At 40.2% G+C, this 18,424-nt stretch overlaps 1 annotated feature.

The window, feature by feature from the left end:
* Window positions 258-458: a silencer, noted in NCBI's record as "peak3080 fragment used in MPRA reporter construct". NCBI's record gives its function as "represses an SCP1 promoter by STARR-seq MPRAs in K562 erythroleukemia cells {active_cell/tissue: K562}" and the evidence as "EXISTENCE:reporter gene assay evidence [ECO:0000049][PMID:32103011]".

Consider the following 18,424-nt stretch of genomic DNA (forward strand, 5'->3'; position numbering starts at 1 on the left):
TCATCTTTAATATTAATCATTTCAACAACAAAAACTGGAAACAATCTAAATGTTCATCAGTAGGGAACCAGCTAAACAAATCCTGATACAGTCATGATGATTAAATACTAATGCTGCAGATCTGTTTGGACTGATATGGAAGATCTTAGAGGTATTGAAATCTGTGTAGTATAATTTCACTTACATACATACTGAATGGCAGCTATATATGTATGAAGATTATAAATTTACTTGTACTTTCAGATTCGGGTTACATTCTACAATCTCAAGAGCCATTTTGTGTGTTTCTGCTACACTGTTTCTTTACGTGTGACATGAATAGACATCTTTGCACCAGAGGCACTTTAGGATAAACCCCTGGGACATGTTTCAATGGGACCTCACATGAGTAAAACATTGCTATCCAATGCTTATCTAGAAGATCAAATTCTTAATCAGAGACCTCCACTTGAAGCCCACATTTTCCTCTATAATCTTCTGAAAGACTTAACTGTCAGCTAGCTTATATGGTGATTTTTTAGCTTTTTAGTATTTTTTTTCCTATCCAGTAACACCATTTTTTTTAATAAGTGCTCTCCCCAGGGAATTAATTATTACCTTGAAGAGTATATTCATATAGTTCCATCAAGATATCTTAAAAATTATCAAACTCCTGACAGACACACTGTGCAGCTTTTAAAAATCATGTAATGTACGTGTGTAGATTTTTTCCAACACTATTGAATCAGAAAATTTTTATTTGGGGATAGAAGACATTCTCTTTATCTTTTTTTCCCTTCCTTCTTGCTCTCTCTTTGTTAAATGCAGAAATCAAACTCACTGGCTGCTAATATCCAATGTGCACGTACTCATGCAAACAGACGTGTTACAGTCCTGCGTGAGAAGAAATCCATGTCACAAAACAAAAGGAGCTCTATGGACATGGGGACTCATCTCCACGCTGGCATTTGTTTTGCAGAGAGGAGGTTCATTATAGCACATCTTGTTTGCGGTTTATAAAACTTCGAGGAACCTGGTAACCATGCGGTACCTCACTGAGAAACAACCATCCTACCTGGTTTCCATATCCACGTGAGGAAACATAGAAAAAGAATGGAAAGGTGGGCCAGGCACGGTGGCTCATGCCTGTAATCTCAGCCCTTTGGGAAACCAAGTCAGGCCAATCACCTGAGCTCAGGAGGTCGAGACCAGCCTGGCCAACATGGTGAAACCCCGTCTCTACTAAAAACACACAAAAAATTATCTGGGTGTGGTGGCAGCTGCCTATAATCCCAGCTGCTCAGGAGGCTGAGGCAGGAGAATCACTTGAACCCAGGAGTCGGAGCTTGCAGTGAGCCGAGATCGTGCCACTGCACTCCAGCATGGGCGACAGAGCAGCACTCCATCTCAAGAAAAAAAAAAAAAGGTGGCAACTTCTAAAACAGCAACAGCTGCAGCCCTTATGGCAGCCACTTTTCATCCTTAACTCATGGCAGATCGGACCTTGTTATGGTACAAATTGCATAAAATGCCATGAAGCCTAATATTGGGCACTTGGAATTGTAAGCAGTGACAGGAGTTAAGGAGAGAGCTGCAGGGACCTCAGCCTCGCAAATTGGGGGTTGTGTGAATATATTTGGAAAACACAGGGAAGGAACCTCAGCAGCCATTCTGTGCCTGGAGATTAAAGGCAGCCCTGTGCAGTGATGTTGCGTGGGTGGCGCAGGCTGTTGTGGGGAGGCAACTTGAGGGGTACCTTCAGGACATGGCTTACTAGTGGTATCGTCTCAGGCCAGCAGTCTATCCTCATTAGTTTCCTCAACTAGAGCTATCTAGGGCTGTAACAAACTTACACTGGGATTCAGGAGCATGGGACAATGACTCTAAGTTGTGGGACTTCCTCCCCTCCCCAGATCTTTGACTGCATGAGTTAATTTGCGTGGGGAAAGAAGACCTGTAAGGAAGAAGTGTTTTGCTTGAGAATCTTATATTGGAAGAATAAGAAATAGAGTGAATCACCTTCCTCAGTCAATCCAAGGCTGTGGTAAGGGCTACAGGTGGAAGCTAAAGGAATTGTTTTCAAAGGGGCTTCTTTTTTTCTTTTTCTTTTTTTTTTTCTTAAACACTTGGTGAACAAGCAATGTGGTTCAGTGCTTGAAGCACTAAATGCCAATTGAAAGTTGAGAGAAACACGTCCTTTCCATGTCTGCAATAGATCAGCAATGGATGTGGGGTGTGAAACCTTCCAGCATCAAGAAAGGCACTTGATACAGAGCAACCATGTTCCGAAGAAGAACCCTGGCAGCAAGGCAGTGGCAAGGGTCCTTCTTTGGTTGGTCAGCTAGCAGTGGCTACCTCTCAGGAAGCTGAAGAATATGAACAGAATATGAAGCTAAAGAATATGAACAGGTCATAAGTATATGACCATGGGGAGATGCCTCCAAATATCCCCAGGGGCCAGTGTCAGGAGAGAACTGAGGACCTCCATAATGCAGATTGGAGCCTCTGCATGAATACAACCTACAGGTATTAATATCACCATAATCTCATTCACACCTCATGGCCAGTGGGATCTGGAAACATTCAGACAACCCATAGTGAAAGGAGGCTACTAGTATTCTCTCAAGCAGTCTTAGTAAGGATTAATAAGACAACCTGGGTGAAAATGCTAGCACAGCACCCAGGATGTAGTAAGCACTCTGCTCATTTTGTTTCCAAGCCTGACCTTATTTAAGAGACTTCTATAAAGATCAGTTTAGAATATTCATTCCTTACTGTGATTCTATACCATAGGAGATATGTACCTCATTTTTTTCATATTACGGAAACATAAACAGAAATAAATGAATTGCATGCTAATTAGGAAGGTGCTTATTATTTTACTCAGGTGACAAATAGCTCGGAAATAAACAGGTGAAACGTTTGGGGCTTTGCAGGATCTTTCAGTTCATTAAGGCAGTAGTGTATGAAAGAAATACTTCAGTGGTTCTAGAGGTGTGTATCACACATGGGTTACTATACAAGCCCGAAAAAAGATGGCTAAAAGGTAAAGTGGGAACAAAAAAGAATACTCTCTAAGGTCACAGACACACCAAGGGGTTGAAATAAAAGACCTCTATGGCATTATATTCTATTTATGATATTTCACTAAGTTGTTGTCACACTTGGAAAAAGCAGTCTCAACTTCTTACATGATACCGGTCAACAGCCATATTTGGGCTGATTTCAAGGTCATTAATGAGTTTCAATTGCCCCCCAAAGTCTTTTTTCCACTTGATTTCTAGTGCTTGGAAATTGTCCAATAGAATAAACACTTCTAGATTACAGCAGAGATGGCAAATTTATCACCTTCTGTGTTTGTATGTGCAGACATCACTAATCAATCACTGTTCTTTTCTGCTGAGTCACCTTTCTCAATACAGTACAAGCAGCCACTTCCAACCAAATATTGTTAAAACCATTTTCCATCTATCTGCCTTAATCCCTTGCTTTCTATGAAAATGCAAATATTTGAAGAAGAATACAAATTTAAGTTATCAGTCACTGACAACTAAATGTTAACCAAAAAAAGATTGAAAGCAGCACTTGCTCTGGCATTAAGGGAGAGAACTCAAGGGCTCTGGAATAGGAGGAGGGGAGTGGCAGAATCTAGGAGCTCCCTAAAGATAGACTTCACCTACTTAACAATTTTGCCTAAGGCCAGTGCTGCCAAAAGGACCAGTTCTCTCCAGGGCATCTATTTCAACCATTTACCATCAAATAAAACTTAAAACTGGCACATGAATTCTTAGGCCAAGGGCATTTTATTTTTTGAAATTTTAAAGTACTTGTTGGGTAAACTACTTTAAAAATTCAAGAGCCACAAAATAATCCCAGAAAGAACAGTGCAGGGGGAAGGTGAGCAAGGTGTAGCTCATTAAAGCGGGTGCTGTGTGTCTAAACATTGTGGACGCACAGGTGCTCTTGGGCATGCATACTTGCAAATGCCATCTACTTGCATAGTTAACAATCCTCTGCAGCACACTGGCAAGCCAACAGGGAAGGGAAGGCAAGATCAAACACATTTAGAAAGAAATTTTAGAACTTGGGCTTATGGCCTAGATGGAGTAACAGGGACCAGAGTTGCTTTCCCACCAGAAACAGCCAAAAATGAACAAGACATATGAACGACAGTTTGTAAAACACTGGACATCAGGCATCAAAGAACAGTGACCCTGAGAGATAATAAACAAATGAGAGGAACCTAATATCTTCCAAGCTTTCTGCTCTGAGAGGATCTCCAGCCATGGTGCAGGGAGTGGAGGGAATCTCCAGCCATGGTGCAGGGAGTGGAGAGAATCTCCAGCCGTGGTGCAGAGAGTGGAGTGAATCTCCAGCCGTGGTGCAGAGAGGGGAGAGAATCTCCAGCCGTGGTGCAGAGAGGGGAGAGAATCTCCAGCCGTGGTGCAGAGAGTGGAGTGCATCTCCAGCCGTGGTGCAGGGAGGGGAGAGAATCTCCAGCCGTGGTGCAGGGAGGGGAGAGAATCTCCACCCATGGTGCGGGGGATGAGGGAGAGAATCTCTAGCTGTGGTGAAGGGAGAGGAGAGAATCTCCAGCCATGGTGGAGGGAGGGGAGAGAATCTCCAGCTGTGGTGCAGGGAGTGGGGAGAATCTCCAGCCATAATGCAGGGAGGGGAGAGAATCTCCAGCTGTGGTGCAGGGAGTGGGGAGAATCTCCAGCCATAATGCAGGGAGGGGAGAGAATCTCCAGCCATGGTGCAGGGAGGGAAAACACAGGCATATGCAGGAGACTTCCTGAGTGGAGGAGAAAGACCTGAGAGTCCAGGGAAAATGCAGGAGCTAGAGTTTACATGACAGAGTGCCAGAGGATAGCTGCCTAGAGAAGAACTCCAGAGATCTGCAGAGAGTCCCCTTTGAGTATTTAGCTGAGTGCTGATCAGCACAAGCACATGAAGGCATTCTGGGAGACTATGAAAAGAATTGTCTGAAAGAATCAGATCACAGTTTTCCCATTTTGGCACAGTTGACGTTTTTGGCTGCACAATTCCTTGTAGGGCTGCCCCATATAGAATAGAATGTTCAGCAGCATCCCTGGCCTCTACTCACCAGACGGCAGTGCCACTCGTCTCCCCCTACATCCCACTTATGACAACCAAAAATGTTTCCAGGCATTGCCAATAGGAGACGTTGTCTTTCACTTCCAGACATTAGGAGGCAAAAATGGAAAACCACTGGAATAAAGGAAAGAGTGTCCAGTGCTGGGAACAGAGCTTGTTCCCATAAGCTAGACTGGAAAACTGGAAGAGTCACAGGACACTGGGTTAAGGATACATGGATGGGTCTTGCCTCAGTAGCGAGGAGGAATAATTAGACCTGGATTGACTGCTGTGGGAGTCCAACCTGACAAAACCTTAAGAGGAAAGACTAACAGAAGCAACCTATTTGCAAGCTACTTAGCTGCATTCCAGGACAAATCTCAAGAATATTTTAGAAATGTAAAAGTATCTAGCACCCAATAAGGTAAAATTTACAATGTCTGGAATCCACTTACAATCCATAATGAGGAAATCAATTAATCAATCAAAGCTGACACAGAACTGACACAGATATTAGAATTCGCAGACAGGAACATTGCAATAGTTATTAAATTTTTATTCTATATGATCAAAAAGTTAACAAGAGACATGGAAGTTTTTTTTTAATCTGATGTAAAGTTCAAAAAATGAATATTATAAAATGTGAGAATAAAAACTACAGTGGGTGGCCTTTTTGGCAGACATCAAAGAAGAAAAGATTAGTTTATTGGATGATATAATTATAAAAGCAGAGAGAGAAGGAATATTTTTAGAATGAACAGAGCATCTGGGAGTTGTGGGAAGACAAAAAGGGGCCTAACATGTGTGTAATTGGAGTCTCCAGAGCCGAGGAGAGACTGAGGACCACAGAAAAATTTGAAAAAAATCATTGCAGAAAGTTTTCCAAATCGGATGAAACCTACAAACCCACTAATCTAAGAAGCTCAATGAACCTTCAGCATAATAAACACCAAGTAAAATATGCCAAAGTACATCACAATCTAATAGCTCAAAACTGCCAATTAAGAGAAAATCATACAGAGGAACAAATATGGATGATAATAGATTTCACTTCAAATGAATATAAGTAAGAAGAAAACGAAGCAACATTTAAAAAATATGGAAATAAAAAACTATCAACTTACAATTTATACCCAGCAAAAGTATCTTCCAAAAGCCAAAGCAAAATAAGGACATCTTCAGAAATACAAACACAGCAAGGATTCATGACCAGCACACCTACATTATCAGAAATATTAAAGGAAGTCTTTTAGGTAGAAAGAAAATGTTCCTGTATGGAAATACGGATCTACATAATGGAATGAAGATGTTGGACTTAGTAACCATATGGTAACTATGTAAGATTTTTTCTTATTTAAATCTCTTTAAAAGATCATTGTTGGGTTTTATAACATATACAAAATGTATAACATCAATAGCATAAATGTCAGGAGGAGAGAAATAGAAATATACTCTTGTAAAGGTTTCATTTGTGAAACGGTAGAATATCACTTGAAGGAAGATGATATATGCGATAACCCCTAAAGCAAAAGCTGAAATAATAAAACAAAGAGTAGTAGCTCATAAGCCAGCAGAGGAGATAAAATGGAATCACAAAACATCAGATTATTACCAACAAAACCAGTAAAAGAGTAAGAGAACAAGGATGAGATGAGATGAAAAAAAAAGCAAGACGATTTTGCCAGTTATGAGTTTATTGGTTCTCAATTTTTAAAATGGGCAAAAAATTTGAACAGCTTGTTATGGGCTGAATGTTTGTGTCACCCAAAAGTTTCACATATGAGATCCTAACCCTCAATGTATATGAGGAGGTAGGGCTTTGGGGCAGTAATTATATCATGAGGCTGGAGTCTTTAGGAATGTGATTAGTGCCCTTCTGAAAGGAACCAAGAGCTCTCTCGCACACTTCCTACCATGAGGATACAATAAGAAGTCAGCTGTCTGTGACCCAGAAGAGGGCCCTCACCAGAATCTGACCATATTGGCATGCTAATGTCAGACTTCCAGCCTTCAGAACTGTAAGAAATAAAATACAGTGGTTTTTAAGCCACCCAGTTTATGGTATTCACTGGTATGGTATGTTACAGCAGCTGGAACAGACTTAAGACACAGATCCTACAGAAAAGATGATACATAATGGCAATACAAAATGAAAAGATTCTCAATGTCATTAGTCATTAGAAACTGAAAATTAAAGTCAACATGAGATACAATTACACACATATTAAAATGGCAAAAAATATAATATGTGATCTCACTTAAATCTTCAAAAAGTGGGGGTCAAATACAAAGATATGGAGAATAAAACAGTGGTTCCATTGTTACCAGGGTCAGGGTAGAAGGAAGGAAATGAGAAGATGTAGATTAAAGGGTACAGAGTAGCAAATATTCAGAATGAACAAGTAGAAAGATCTAATGTAGAACATGGGGACTATAGTTAATAACAGTGTATTATACTCAGGATTTGCACTAAATGAGTAGATTATAGCTCCTCTTGCCACAGACAGGGAACATGGGTAACTATTAGATAATGGCTATGTTAACTTGTTCCATGACAGTATTTTTTTTACTATATATATATATGTATCTTACAACATCATGTTGTATACCTTAGTATACACAATAAAATTTATTTTAAAAAAGAAATAAAATAAATATTAAAAGACTGACCATACCTGGTATTGATGAGGATATAGAAAAAACTGGAACTCTCATACATGGCTAGTGGGAATGTACAATGGTACAACCACGTTGGAAAGCACTTTGGAAGTCTTTTAAAAAGTTAAACATACTTCTCTCATATAATCCAGCCATTCCACTGCTGGGTATTACATTCATATGTATTTATATGTTCATTGGAGCTTTATTTGTAATGGCAAAAAACTGGAAATACCTTATTGTCTCCATCAACTGATGAATGGATTTTCAAAAACTGTGGTTTAGCGATATATATGAGTATATTCCATTGCTCAGCAATAAAAATTACTTATCGATACACACAAGAATGAAAGTCATGATAATTACACTGAGTGACATAAGCCAGGCATCAGAGTACACTATATGTTTCATGTATTTAAAATTCTAGAAAATGAAAGTGAATTTCTAGTGGCAGAAAGCAGATCTATGGTTGCTGGGAATGGGACATAGGGAGGGAGGTGTGGGAGGCAAGTGATCACAAGAGGAAACTCTGGGGATGTGAATATGTTCATTATCTTGATTGAGGTGATGTTCTCATGGGAGCATAAATATATTAAATTGTACACTTAAATATATATACTTTAGTGTATATCAATTTTACCCAAATAAAATTGTAAAAATGGAAATTATAAGATTTTCTAGGAGACAGCCTAAAGGATTATATTTAACATTGATACTTAGAATAAAGACCAGCAGATATGAGTTCTAGTTCAACTTCTGTCTTTGATGTGTCTAGCTATCTTGTGACAGACAGATAAATTCTCTTGATCTTAGTTTCCTAACTTACAGACAGCTGATTTAGTGATCTATAGCATCCTTCAAGTTCGAACTCTAGTAATGGATAAAAGTGGATAGGAGGGAGTTTGAGTAGTGAAGCCCAACCTGGGTTTGAATTTCAGCTCTATCACTCTTTACTTGTGTGACCTGAGATAAATTATTCAACCCTTCTAAACTGTTAGAGAGTAAGTTCCACCAGGAAAGGCTGTATTGTTTTGTTTACTCCTGCAACCCAGGGCCTGGTATTAGATACTGGCATACAAATCAATGTTTTCTTTTTCGGCAAAATGAGAATATTTATAAGCCTCCTTGTAGCAGAGGCTGTTGATGTCCCTCAACCTCCATATCCCATTGTTCCAGTCCTAGGTTTAACTTTCACACAGGGAGACAGCCTCTGCCATGCCTCCCACCTCAAGCACAGGAAAGGCACCCGGGGCAGACATTGTCAAGAAGGGCAGTGGGTGCAGTGGCCAAAGGTTTTTCAGGAGCTGGCTGTCCCTGGGGGCTTTCTCAGGGCCAGTGGGCTTCTCACTTAATGCCCTGAGAAGTCATGGGGAGTGAGAGGCAGTGGATTAATGTCCCAGCCTCCCTGCTTTCTGGTGGGACAATTCTGAGGCCTGGGTCCTCAGTGAGACTGAGCCCCAGTTGCTCACAGTGGGACGCTACTCATCCTACGTCATTTCCTGGCTTCTCACCTTTCCTTGTTTGATTTCCCAGTCCTTCACTTGTGCTTCCTGGGATCACTTCCTAAATGAACTTCCTGCCTCTATGCCAATGGTAGAAATCCAAAAGAAGGTACCATCTCTTGTGGATCTCGTAGGGATGAAGTGAAACAGGATGTATAAAGTGCTTCGCCTACTGCCTGGTGGGTTTGTTTTCTGTTTTTTGATTGGTTTTGATTTGTTGCTAGTTTCTTTCAGAGATCCCAGAGAAAGTGACCCTGCTAACTTTGAGTTAACAAGAATGAGGGGGGAAGGGAAATCTGTGTGAGGAAAGACATGTGCCTGAGAATTTATAAAAGCAGAATCAAAACAATCTAGAGAAAAAGTAGATCATGCTATGGACTTAATTGTGTCCCCCAGAATGCATGTTGAAATCCTAAGCTCCAATGTGACTGTATTTGGAGACAGAGCGTTTAGGAGGTAATTAAGGTTAAATAAGGTTATATGGGTGGAGTCCTAATAAAGTAGGACTGTTGGCCTTATAAGAAAAGAAATCTCTCTCTCTTTCTCTCTCTCTCTCTGTTTGTCTCTCTTTCTTTCTTTCTCCACCTGAGCACAGAGAAAAGGTCATGGAAGAATACAGCAGGAAGGCAGCCTTCTCCAAGCCAAGAAAAGAGCCCTCACAGAGAACCTAATTGCCAGCACCTTGATCTTGGACTTCCAGGCTCCAGAACTGTGAGAAAAATAAATGTCTGTTGTTTAAGCCACCCAGTCTGTGGTCTTTGGTTATGGCAGCTTAAGCTGACTAATATACTCATGTACCTCAAACCCTGTATAGCAAAATATGAACCCGACTCAAGAGGAATGGAGATTTTCTAAAGCTAAAATTCCAATTATATTATTGCAATCCAAGTGAATAAGGAAAGTTGAAACTATTCAAAACCAGTGAACCAAACAAAACCAAATCGACGTGTAAGGTTGGTGGATTTAGTGAATACATTTTAGAGGAGATGCTCAGTTAAATTTGAATTTCAGCAAAACAACAATTTTTTTAGTATAAGTATGTCTCAAATATTACACAGGACACACGTATACTAAAAATTTATGTGCTATTTATCCGAAATCCAAATTTAACTGGGTGTCTTGTATTTTATCTGGCAAACATTGATGTGACTGTACGGTAAGCTCTCTAAGGAGCTCAAGCTTTCATAAAATGTTAAGTATAAAATGTGAAAAAAATGAAAGATTGATTTTTAAAGCAAAGTGGCTCACATTGCTGGAATTTTATAAGGAATTCTAAAACCCAGACTAAGTTGAGGCTCACAAAACAAATTAAAGACAAAAACAGTGTTTCTTTAAAAATTCAAGAAAAGCAGGAAAAATGCTGACTCCCCTATATGGAGAAAGTGGTAGAAAGTTGACAGTGATAGGAGACAGCTACTGAATGTGCATTCTGCTTTGTATTACTCACCAGGAAAAATGCTCTTAAAAAAAAAAAAAGCCAACTAACAGTCAGGTGAGTCAGGAGTTATCAGAGATGATCTGTCTCATCACCTTCAATGCACTAAGATTTATGTTCCAAATTGCTAAAATAAATGGAAGATGTGATCTTACAGACAGCTCTGCAAAATCTCAGACAATGAGAGAGAGAGGTGGCAGAAAACTGAAGGCAGGCAAATGTTCAAACTCTCAGAAATAGGAAGCAAGTAGGCAACACAGGATGTTACCGAGCGGGAAGTCCAGAATATTTCTAAGATGGGTTGCTCCAAGGAGAAAGTCAGGCCAAATGAACTTTATTTTCTTTGTTGTTAGGATTATTAAAGTAATGCACTGGGAAAACATTATAAGGGTAATGCACCCAGGTTTCAACAAGGCATTTGAAGAATATTTTCTATGATAACCTCATGGACAAGAATGAAACACGGGAATCACTTTTCTGTGGCTCTGAACTTAAATCCCACTTAACTTTGTTCATCATGTCTCAAATAAAGTTATGCTTACCAGATTTGCTGTAAACAAAAAACTGAAAAGAATAGTATATTAATTGTACTATTTTGGTTGTAAGTAAAGAAGTTCAATGTGAGGCCGGACACGATGACTCACGCCTGTAATCCCAGTGCTTTGGGAGGCCAAGGTGGGCAGATCACAAGGTCAGGAGTTCGAGACCAGCCTGGCCAACATGGTGAAACCCCGTCTCTACTAAAAATACAAAAAATTAGCTAGGCATGGTGGCAGGCACCTGTAATCCCAGCTACTCGGGAGGCTGAGACAGGAGAATTGCTTGAACCTGGGAGGCGGAGGTTGCAGTGAGCCGAGACCGCACCACTGCACTCCAGGCCAGGCAACACAGCAAGACTCCATCTCAAAAAACAACAACAAAAAGAAATTCAATGTGAAAGAACTAAAACAGGGATTAATTAGAAAGGTATCAGGCATATAACAGAACTTCAGGAATAAGAACTGGAAGGGGCAGAACCAGGATCTGGTGTCAGGTATTTGCTTTTGGACATGTGAGTCTGAGATATCCTTAGACATCTGGTAAGCAAGGCAGGCAGTAGGAGTATGGGATTACGGGAGGGTTCAGGATCGAAGAGGCTAGAGATAAAACGTAGGATTCATTGTGCATAGATGGTATTTCAAGCCAAGGGACTTGATGAGATCACTTAGGAAAGAGGAATTGAGGGAAAACAGAGGATCAGAAATAGAATCCTGAGGGTTGGGGAAAATGCAAAAGACAGCCAAGGAGGCTGAGAAGGAGGGATCAGTGAAGTAAAATAAAGACGAGGGGGTTTGTTCAAGAGACAAAATGAAAATGTTTCATGCAGGTGATAGCTCGCAGTTATGTCAAATGCAGAGGTTGGGCATGATGGGAACTGCCATACCATGTGATCACATAGTGACAAAGGAGAGGGAGGAGCAGCTCCTCTAACAGGGCACTGGCAAGGCAGTGCTGCAGGTTTCCACCACATGTAGCTAATGCAATAGATTAAAACAGAAGTCAAACTTATTTTGATAAATTGTAATGAGAAGCCTAAATCATCAAATAAAACTTAAACATGATAAATGCTAGGTTTGCATTTAGATTCAGACTAGAGACTATAAACTCAGTGTATATACGCATACAAAAGACTAAAAGAATATGCCTCCAAACATTAACAATTATTACCCAGAAGTGGTGGAGCTATAGATATTTTTGTTCTGTTTTATATTTTCCATAATTTCAAAATTTTATCTACAATAAATATTAATTGCTTTAGTAAACAGAAAAATATCATAAATGTTATAAAATACCAATTATGTATAAATACGGATGGGAAGAGTTTGTATTAATTTATGCAAAAAAACCCCAAACCCTTAACATGTTGAATAAGAACTTGGGTTGCACTAATAAAAGTATAATATGCATTGCTGTATTAATTCATCTGGAAGTGGGAAAACAGTACAGTTTTACTATTAGATAGTACACAAAATAAGAGGATAGGGAGGAAACTAGAAAGCATAACATGGGAAAAAAATTGAGGAAAATAGAAATGTGAATCTAGAGGAAAGACGTAAGTCACAGTGGTAAATATGATGAGTTGGCGTGTGGTGGAAAGAATTAGATACACTCAGCTCCACTTGTATCTTGGGAAGTCATGTATTTCTCTGAGTCCCAGTATCCTGATTGATGAAGTAGCAATAATCTTCCTCATAACGCTGATTTTTAGGTTAAATACAACAAGGTATGAGTTACCCTCTTCGCTGGCCTAGAACCCTTCATATGCAGAGCTCAGGAGCTCTTCTCTATCTTTTTTAAAAAATTACTCACATAGAAGCATTGGTGAGTTATGTAGATTTCACTGTAGATTGCATATGGTAGGCGATAGACACAGCACGTCCCAGAGCAAAATGCTTAAACCCCCCACCTCACACTGCTGTTCTCTGCAAAGTCTTTGCCACTGTGGTAATTGGGTAGCAAGTCAGGATGTGTATCAGGGGATCCTTCTCCCACCAAGACTCACTAACTTCTCTCTATCCCTCCAGGGTACCAGGATCTTCAAGTTCCTTTGCCTTCTTCCGTGAGATAATTTAATCCTCTCCCAATTCCTATCTTGAAACTTGAAAAACAAAACTTATGATACTCAGCAAAACAAGGATCTGCTCGTGTAGCAGAATCTACCCTCCTTAGTAAACCTATTTCTGTCCTGAGTGTGGCCTTTGGGATCTCAGAATCCCACCGTTACCTCCACCAATAAGTGCTATTTTGTCATGCAAACGTGTTCGGTGCTCTCCCCATGAAGGGTTTCAGGTGAAGAACCTTCTCCCATCCACTTACATATATCAAATATCTACCATAGTGCTGTCTGTCACCCAGCAGACGCCAGAAAATGTAAATAGTTATTATTTTCATTATGATGACTGTCTTTAAATATTTAAAAAGCTATGTGGAAGCGGAATGTGAAGACCTATTTTTGATAGCTCCCAAGACCCAATAGGACCAATTGGTATGTCACTGGGAGGTAGAATTGGCTCAGTAGAAGGCAGATATTGCCAGCAATTAGAACTACTCAATAACAGGGACTTCTTGACTTGTCTTGAATTGTCTGATCCAAGACAGAAGAGAGCAGGAGACAGTAGATGGGAATTTGAATGAGTTGACCTGAACTTTCCCTCCTGAAGGACATCTGCTGATCCTGTGAAAAGTGCCTGAATGGGTGAATGGGTTTGCCTTCTTTCCTGTTTCTTCCCAGTGTCACCACAATCTAAAGTTACTTTTTTTTTCTTTTTGAGACAGGGTCTCACTCTGTCATCCAGGCTGGAGTTCAGTGGTGCGATCACAGCTCACTGAAGCCTCGATCTCCCCTGCTCAAGTGCCTCTCCCACTTCAGCCTCCCAAGTAGCTGGGACCACAGGCATGTGCCACCATGCTCAGCTATATTAATTTTTTTTTTTTTTTAGAAATGAGATATTTTCATGTTGTCCAAGCTGGTCCCGAACTCCTGGGCTCAAGGAATACTCCCACCTTGGCTTCCCAAAGTGCGGGGAATATGGGTGGTGAGAGCCACTGTGCCTGGCCAAAGGTGACCAGACCACCATAAACCTGATTCTTTTTGGATTTTCTTTTTTGAAACAAAGTATCACTCTGTCACCCAGGCTGGAGTGCAGGGGTGCCATCTCGGCTCACCGCAACCTCCGCCTCCTGGGTTCAAGCGATTCTCGTGCCTCAGCCTCCCGAGTAGCTGGGACTACAGGCACCTACCACCACGCCCGGCTAATTTTTGTATTTTTAGTAGAGACGGGGTTTCACCATGTTGGCCAGGCTGGTCTCAAACTCCTGACCTCAGGTGATCCACCAGCTTCGGCCTCCCAAAGTGCTGGGATTACAGGAGTGAGCCACCGTGCCTGACCTGGATTTGGTTATGTATAAGACACACAGTGACAGAAACCTCCCCTGGAAGGGGTGAAGTCAACATAGCTACTAGTTTCCTGACACTACTTCAAAAGCATCAGGAAGAAAAGAAGAGTTAATACAGCTGTCCAGGCCACTGAAATTGTAGGATACAGAGCTGTGCTGTGTGCTGGGGCCTTGGTGGCTACAATGATCAAACCCAGGGAGGGGGGGAATGGGAACCAGATTCCAGGACACCCCAGGGGCTTTCAAGATACACTTATATTTGCCATTTTGCAATTTTTTCAGGGTGTGCAGAATTAGCTCAAAGTCTTCCACATGCCAGTGTGGCTTTGCCTGTAATATAATCTTTTTAAAAGGTTAAGTTAATCTTGTTAATGTTGCAGCATTTCAACCTAACGGTGCTCCATGCACAATCTAATTGGATTTTTATGTGTCTTTATTTAAAGAAATTTGTTTAGTGACAATGACAATTTGAGTATTACATGTAGGTCTCTTTTGTATAATATTGAAGCGAGATAGAGTACACACAGGTAGGCTGGGATAACAGATTTCTGATAGGTAGTTATCACCTAAAGCCTGTATCAGTTTAAGCACAAACCATACAGGAACTTATGTGTTCAATGATGTTGACTCTGTAAAATTAGAGCAAATGGATAGGTAGGTCTGAGATCACAATACTGGGAGGTTTCATGCTATGCAATGAGTAAGTCATGTGACTTCTACAGAAAATTCCACTCATTTCAATGGTGAATTGGATACTAGGTTGAATTTTTAAAGGCTATTTGTCCTAAGAGATTATGAATTTATACTGCCTCAGGTTGTATTCCATCATTATAAAAGTGCAGGAGTTCTCCGTAAAGTTTGTTTTACCAGCCAGAATTGGGAATTATATGTCTTGCAATAAATTCCTTCACATTTGCTGTTTGACATTTCAGAGGTAACCCCTGGCTTAACTGGCTGCAGGTAAAAATTAGAGGCATAACTGGTTTTAATAACAGTCTCTGGGTCTACTTATTTCGAAGTACTTAGCCAATGACATCCTTCTTTATGTAATATTTTTTATATTCCATGAAGTACATTTCTAACTTTTTTTTGAGATGTTAAATGGTTTTGTTTGCCTTTGTTTTTAGCTTGATTTTGCAAAATTTAACTCAGGTCTTTCCTTAAGAATGTGGTAAATGGACACGTTATGAAAGAAAATCTGGCCAGGTGTGGTGACTCATGCTTGTAATCCCAGCACTTTGGGAGGCCAAGGCAGGAAGATTCCTTGAGGTCAGGAGTTTGAGACCAGCCCAGGAAACATAGCAAGACCCCATCTCTATAAAAAATTTTAAAAGTCCAGCCTGATATGGTGGCATATGCCTGTAGTCCCAGCTACTTGGGAGGCTGAGGTAGAAAGCTTGAGACCAGGAGTTCAAGGCTGAAGTAAGCTGTAATTGCACCACTGCACTCTAGCTTGGACAACAGAGCAAGACTCTGTCTCTAACTTAAAAAATAAACAAAGATGAAATAAAGAAAATCTTACTGATTTTTTTTTTTTTGGAGATTTCAGATCTAGGTTATGCTTTAAAGCCTTCATTCTGGAAGCTGATAGAATTGCACAGTGTGTAGATTTGGGGTTAATTATTTTTCCCAGGTGTTTCAGGTCTTATTTATATACATTTACCAAACTGGAGGATGTATAAGTGTTTTCTTGGAAATTCTAATGATCATAATGTAAAGGAAAACAGGAAAAACAGAGTGTGGGAGAGAGTAGGAGGAAAAGTGAAGCTTAAGAAAACAGAAAATGATGATTACCATTTTAGTTCTCCCTGGTGGTGGGAATAGGAGTAGGAAAAGATCAACTCATAATTGGGAAAAGAAATTTGATTGTTAGAATAAGAGATATAGGAAAAAAAACAAAGTATGTTTCCTACTCCTTACTCTCTACTTAACACAACACTTCCGACATCAGATGTCTAGGGATTATTTTCCCACACAGCAAGTAACTCTGCAGTGAATGCCAGCTCGGTGTCCTCCGATTCAGTTCTGGCACTATTTACCTGCGGATAGTGTCAGATCCCACAGGTTGAAGGCTCGGTCCCACAAGACTGCCCCCGACTTCAGATGCTAATTGCAAATAGCAGGTTGTCACCTATGCTTCTGACTGGCTATAAATTGGGGTTTCCATGATCCCCTCCTTGGGTTTGATTAATTTGCTATAGCAGCTCACAGAACTCAGGGAAACACTTTACTTAGGTTTGCCCATATATTACAAAGAATATTTTAAAAGATAAAGATAAGCAGCCCTATGGAAGAGATGCATAGGGCGAGCTATGGGAGAAGCGGTGAGGAACTTCCATGCCCCCTCCAGGTGGGCAACCCTACAGGAACCTCTACATGTTTAACTATCAGGAAGCTCTCTGAACTCAGTTATTTTGGGTTTTTATGCAAACTTCATTACGTAGGCATGATTGATTACATCATTGGCCATAGGTAAGCCATTCAACCTTCAGCCCCTCTCTCCTCCGTGGAGGTGAGGAGTGTGGCTGAAAGTCCCAATCCTCTAATTATGCCTTGGTTTTCTGGGAATGAGCCCCCATTATGAGGCTACCAGTAATTCCTTTCACACACAAAAGACACTCTTATCCCTCTGGAAACCAGAAAAAAACGACCATATATATAATCCTATATAATATATATAGTACATATAATCTTATTACAAATCATAATATCACAGTTAGTGAACTTTCTTTTCCAAGACAAAGAGCAGTGACAGGCAAGGGAAGGGATAGGACACATGTGCTGTTCCATGTGCCACTGAAAATTCTACCTTTGCAGCCTTTCTTGGAAGGATTAGAAGGCATCCACAATCCATTTTAAATTTTTTAAATAAACTTTATTTTAGAATGGTCTTCTACCTAAAGGAAAGTTACAAAGAAAAAAAGTTAGCCAGGTATGGTGGCACGTGCCTGTAATCCTAACTACTTGGGAAGCTGAGGCAGGAGAATCGCTTGAACCCAGGAGGCGGAGGTTGCAGTGAGCGGAGATCATGCCATTGCACTCCAGCCTGGGCAACAGAGTGAGACTCTGTCCCCAAAAAAATAATAAAATAAAATAAAATAAAGAAAAGTTGTAAAGAGGGTACAGAAAGTTCCCATATCCCCCACATCCAATTTCCCCTCTTATTAACATATTATATTAGAATAGCAATTTTGTTAGAATTAATGAATGCATATTGATGCATTATTATTAGCCAAAGCTCATGCCTTATTCAGATTTCCTTAGTTTTACCTGATATCCTTTTTCTTTTCCAGAATTCCATCCAGTACACCACATTACATTTAGTTATTACATCTCTTTAAGCTTCTCTTGGTCATGACAGTCTCAGAGTTTCTGTGTCTTTTATTATGTATGAGGAGTACTGGTCAGGTATTTTATAGAATGTCCCTCAATTTGGGATTGCCTGATATTTTTCCCATGAGATTGGGGTTATGGGTTTTGGGGAGGAAGACCAAAAAGTAAAATGCCATTCTTATCACATCGTACCAAAGGCACACACTATTGACATCATGTTCACCTTGTTAACATGTGACGTTCCCCTTTATCACCTGGCTGAGGTAGTGTTTGTCAGGTTTCTTCAGTGTAAGGTTATTCTTTTCTCCCCTTTTCTATCCTTTACTCTTTTGAAGAAAGTCACAATATGCAGCTCATACTTAAGGAGAGGAGAGTTATTCTTCGCTCTTTGGGGGCCATCCGCATAAATTATTTGGAACTCTGCTGCACAGGAAATTTGTCTATTCTCATTGACTTATTTATTGATTCAATCACTTCTCTATAA

Source organism: Homo sapiens, chromosome 18 (assembly GCF_000001405.40).
Source record: "Homo sapiens chromosome 18, GRCh38.p14 Primary Assembly".
NCBI classification, from domain to species: Eukaryota; Metazoa; Chordata; class Mammalia; order Primates; family Hominidae; genus Homo; species Homo sapiens.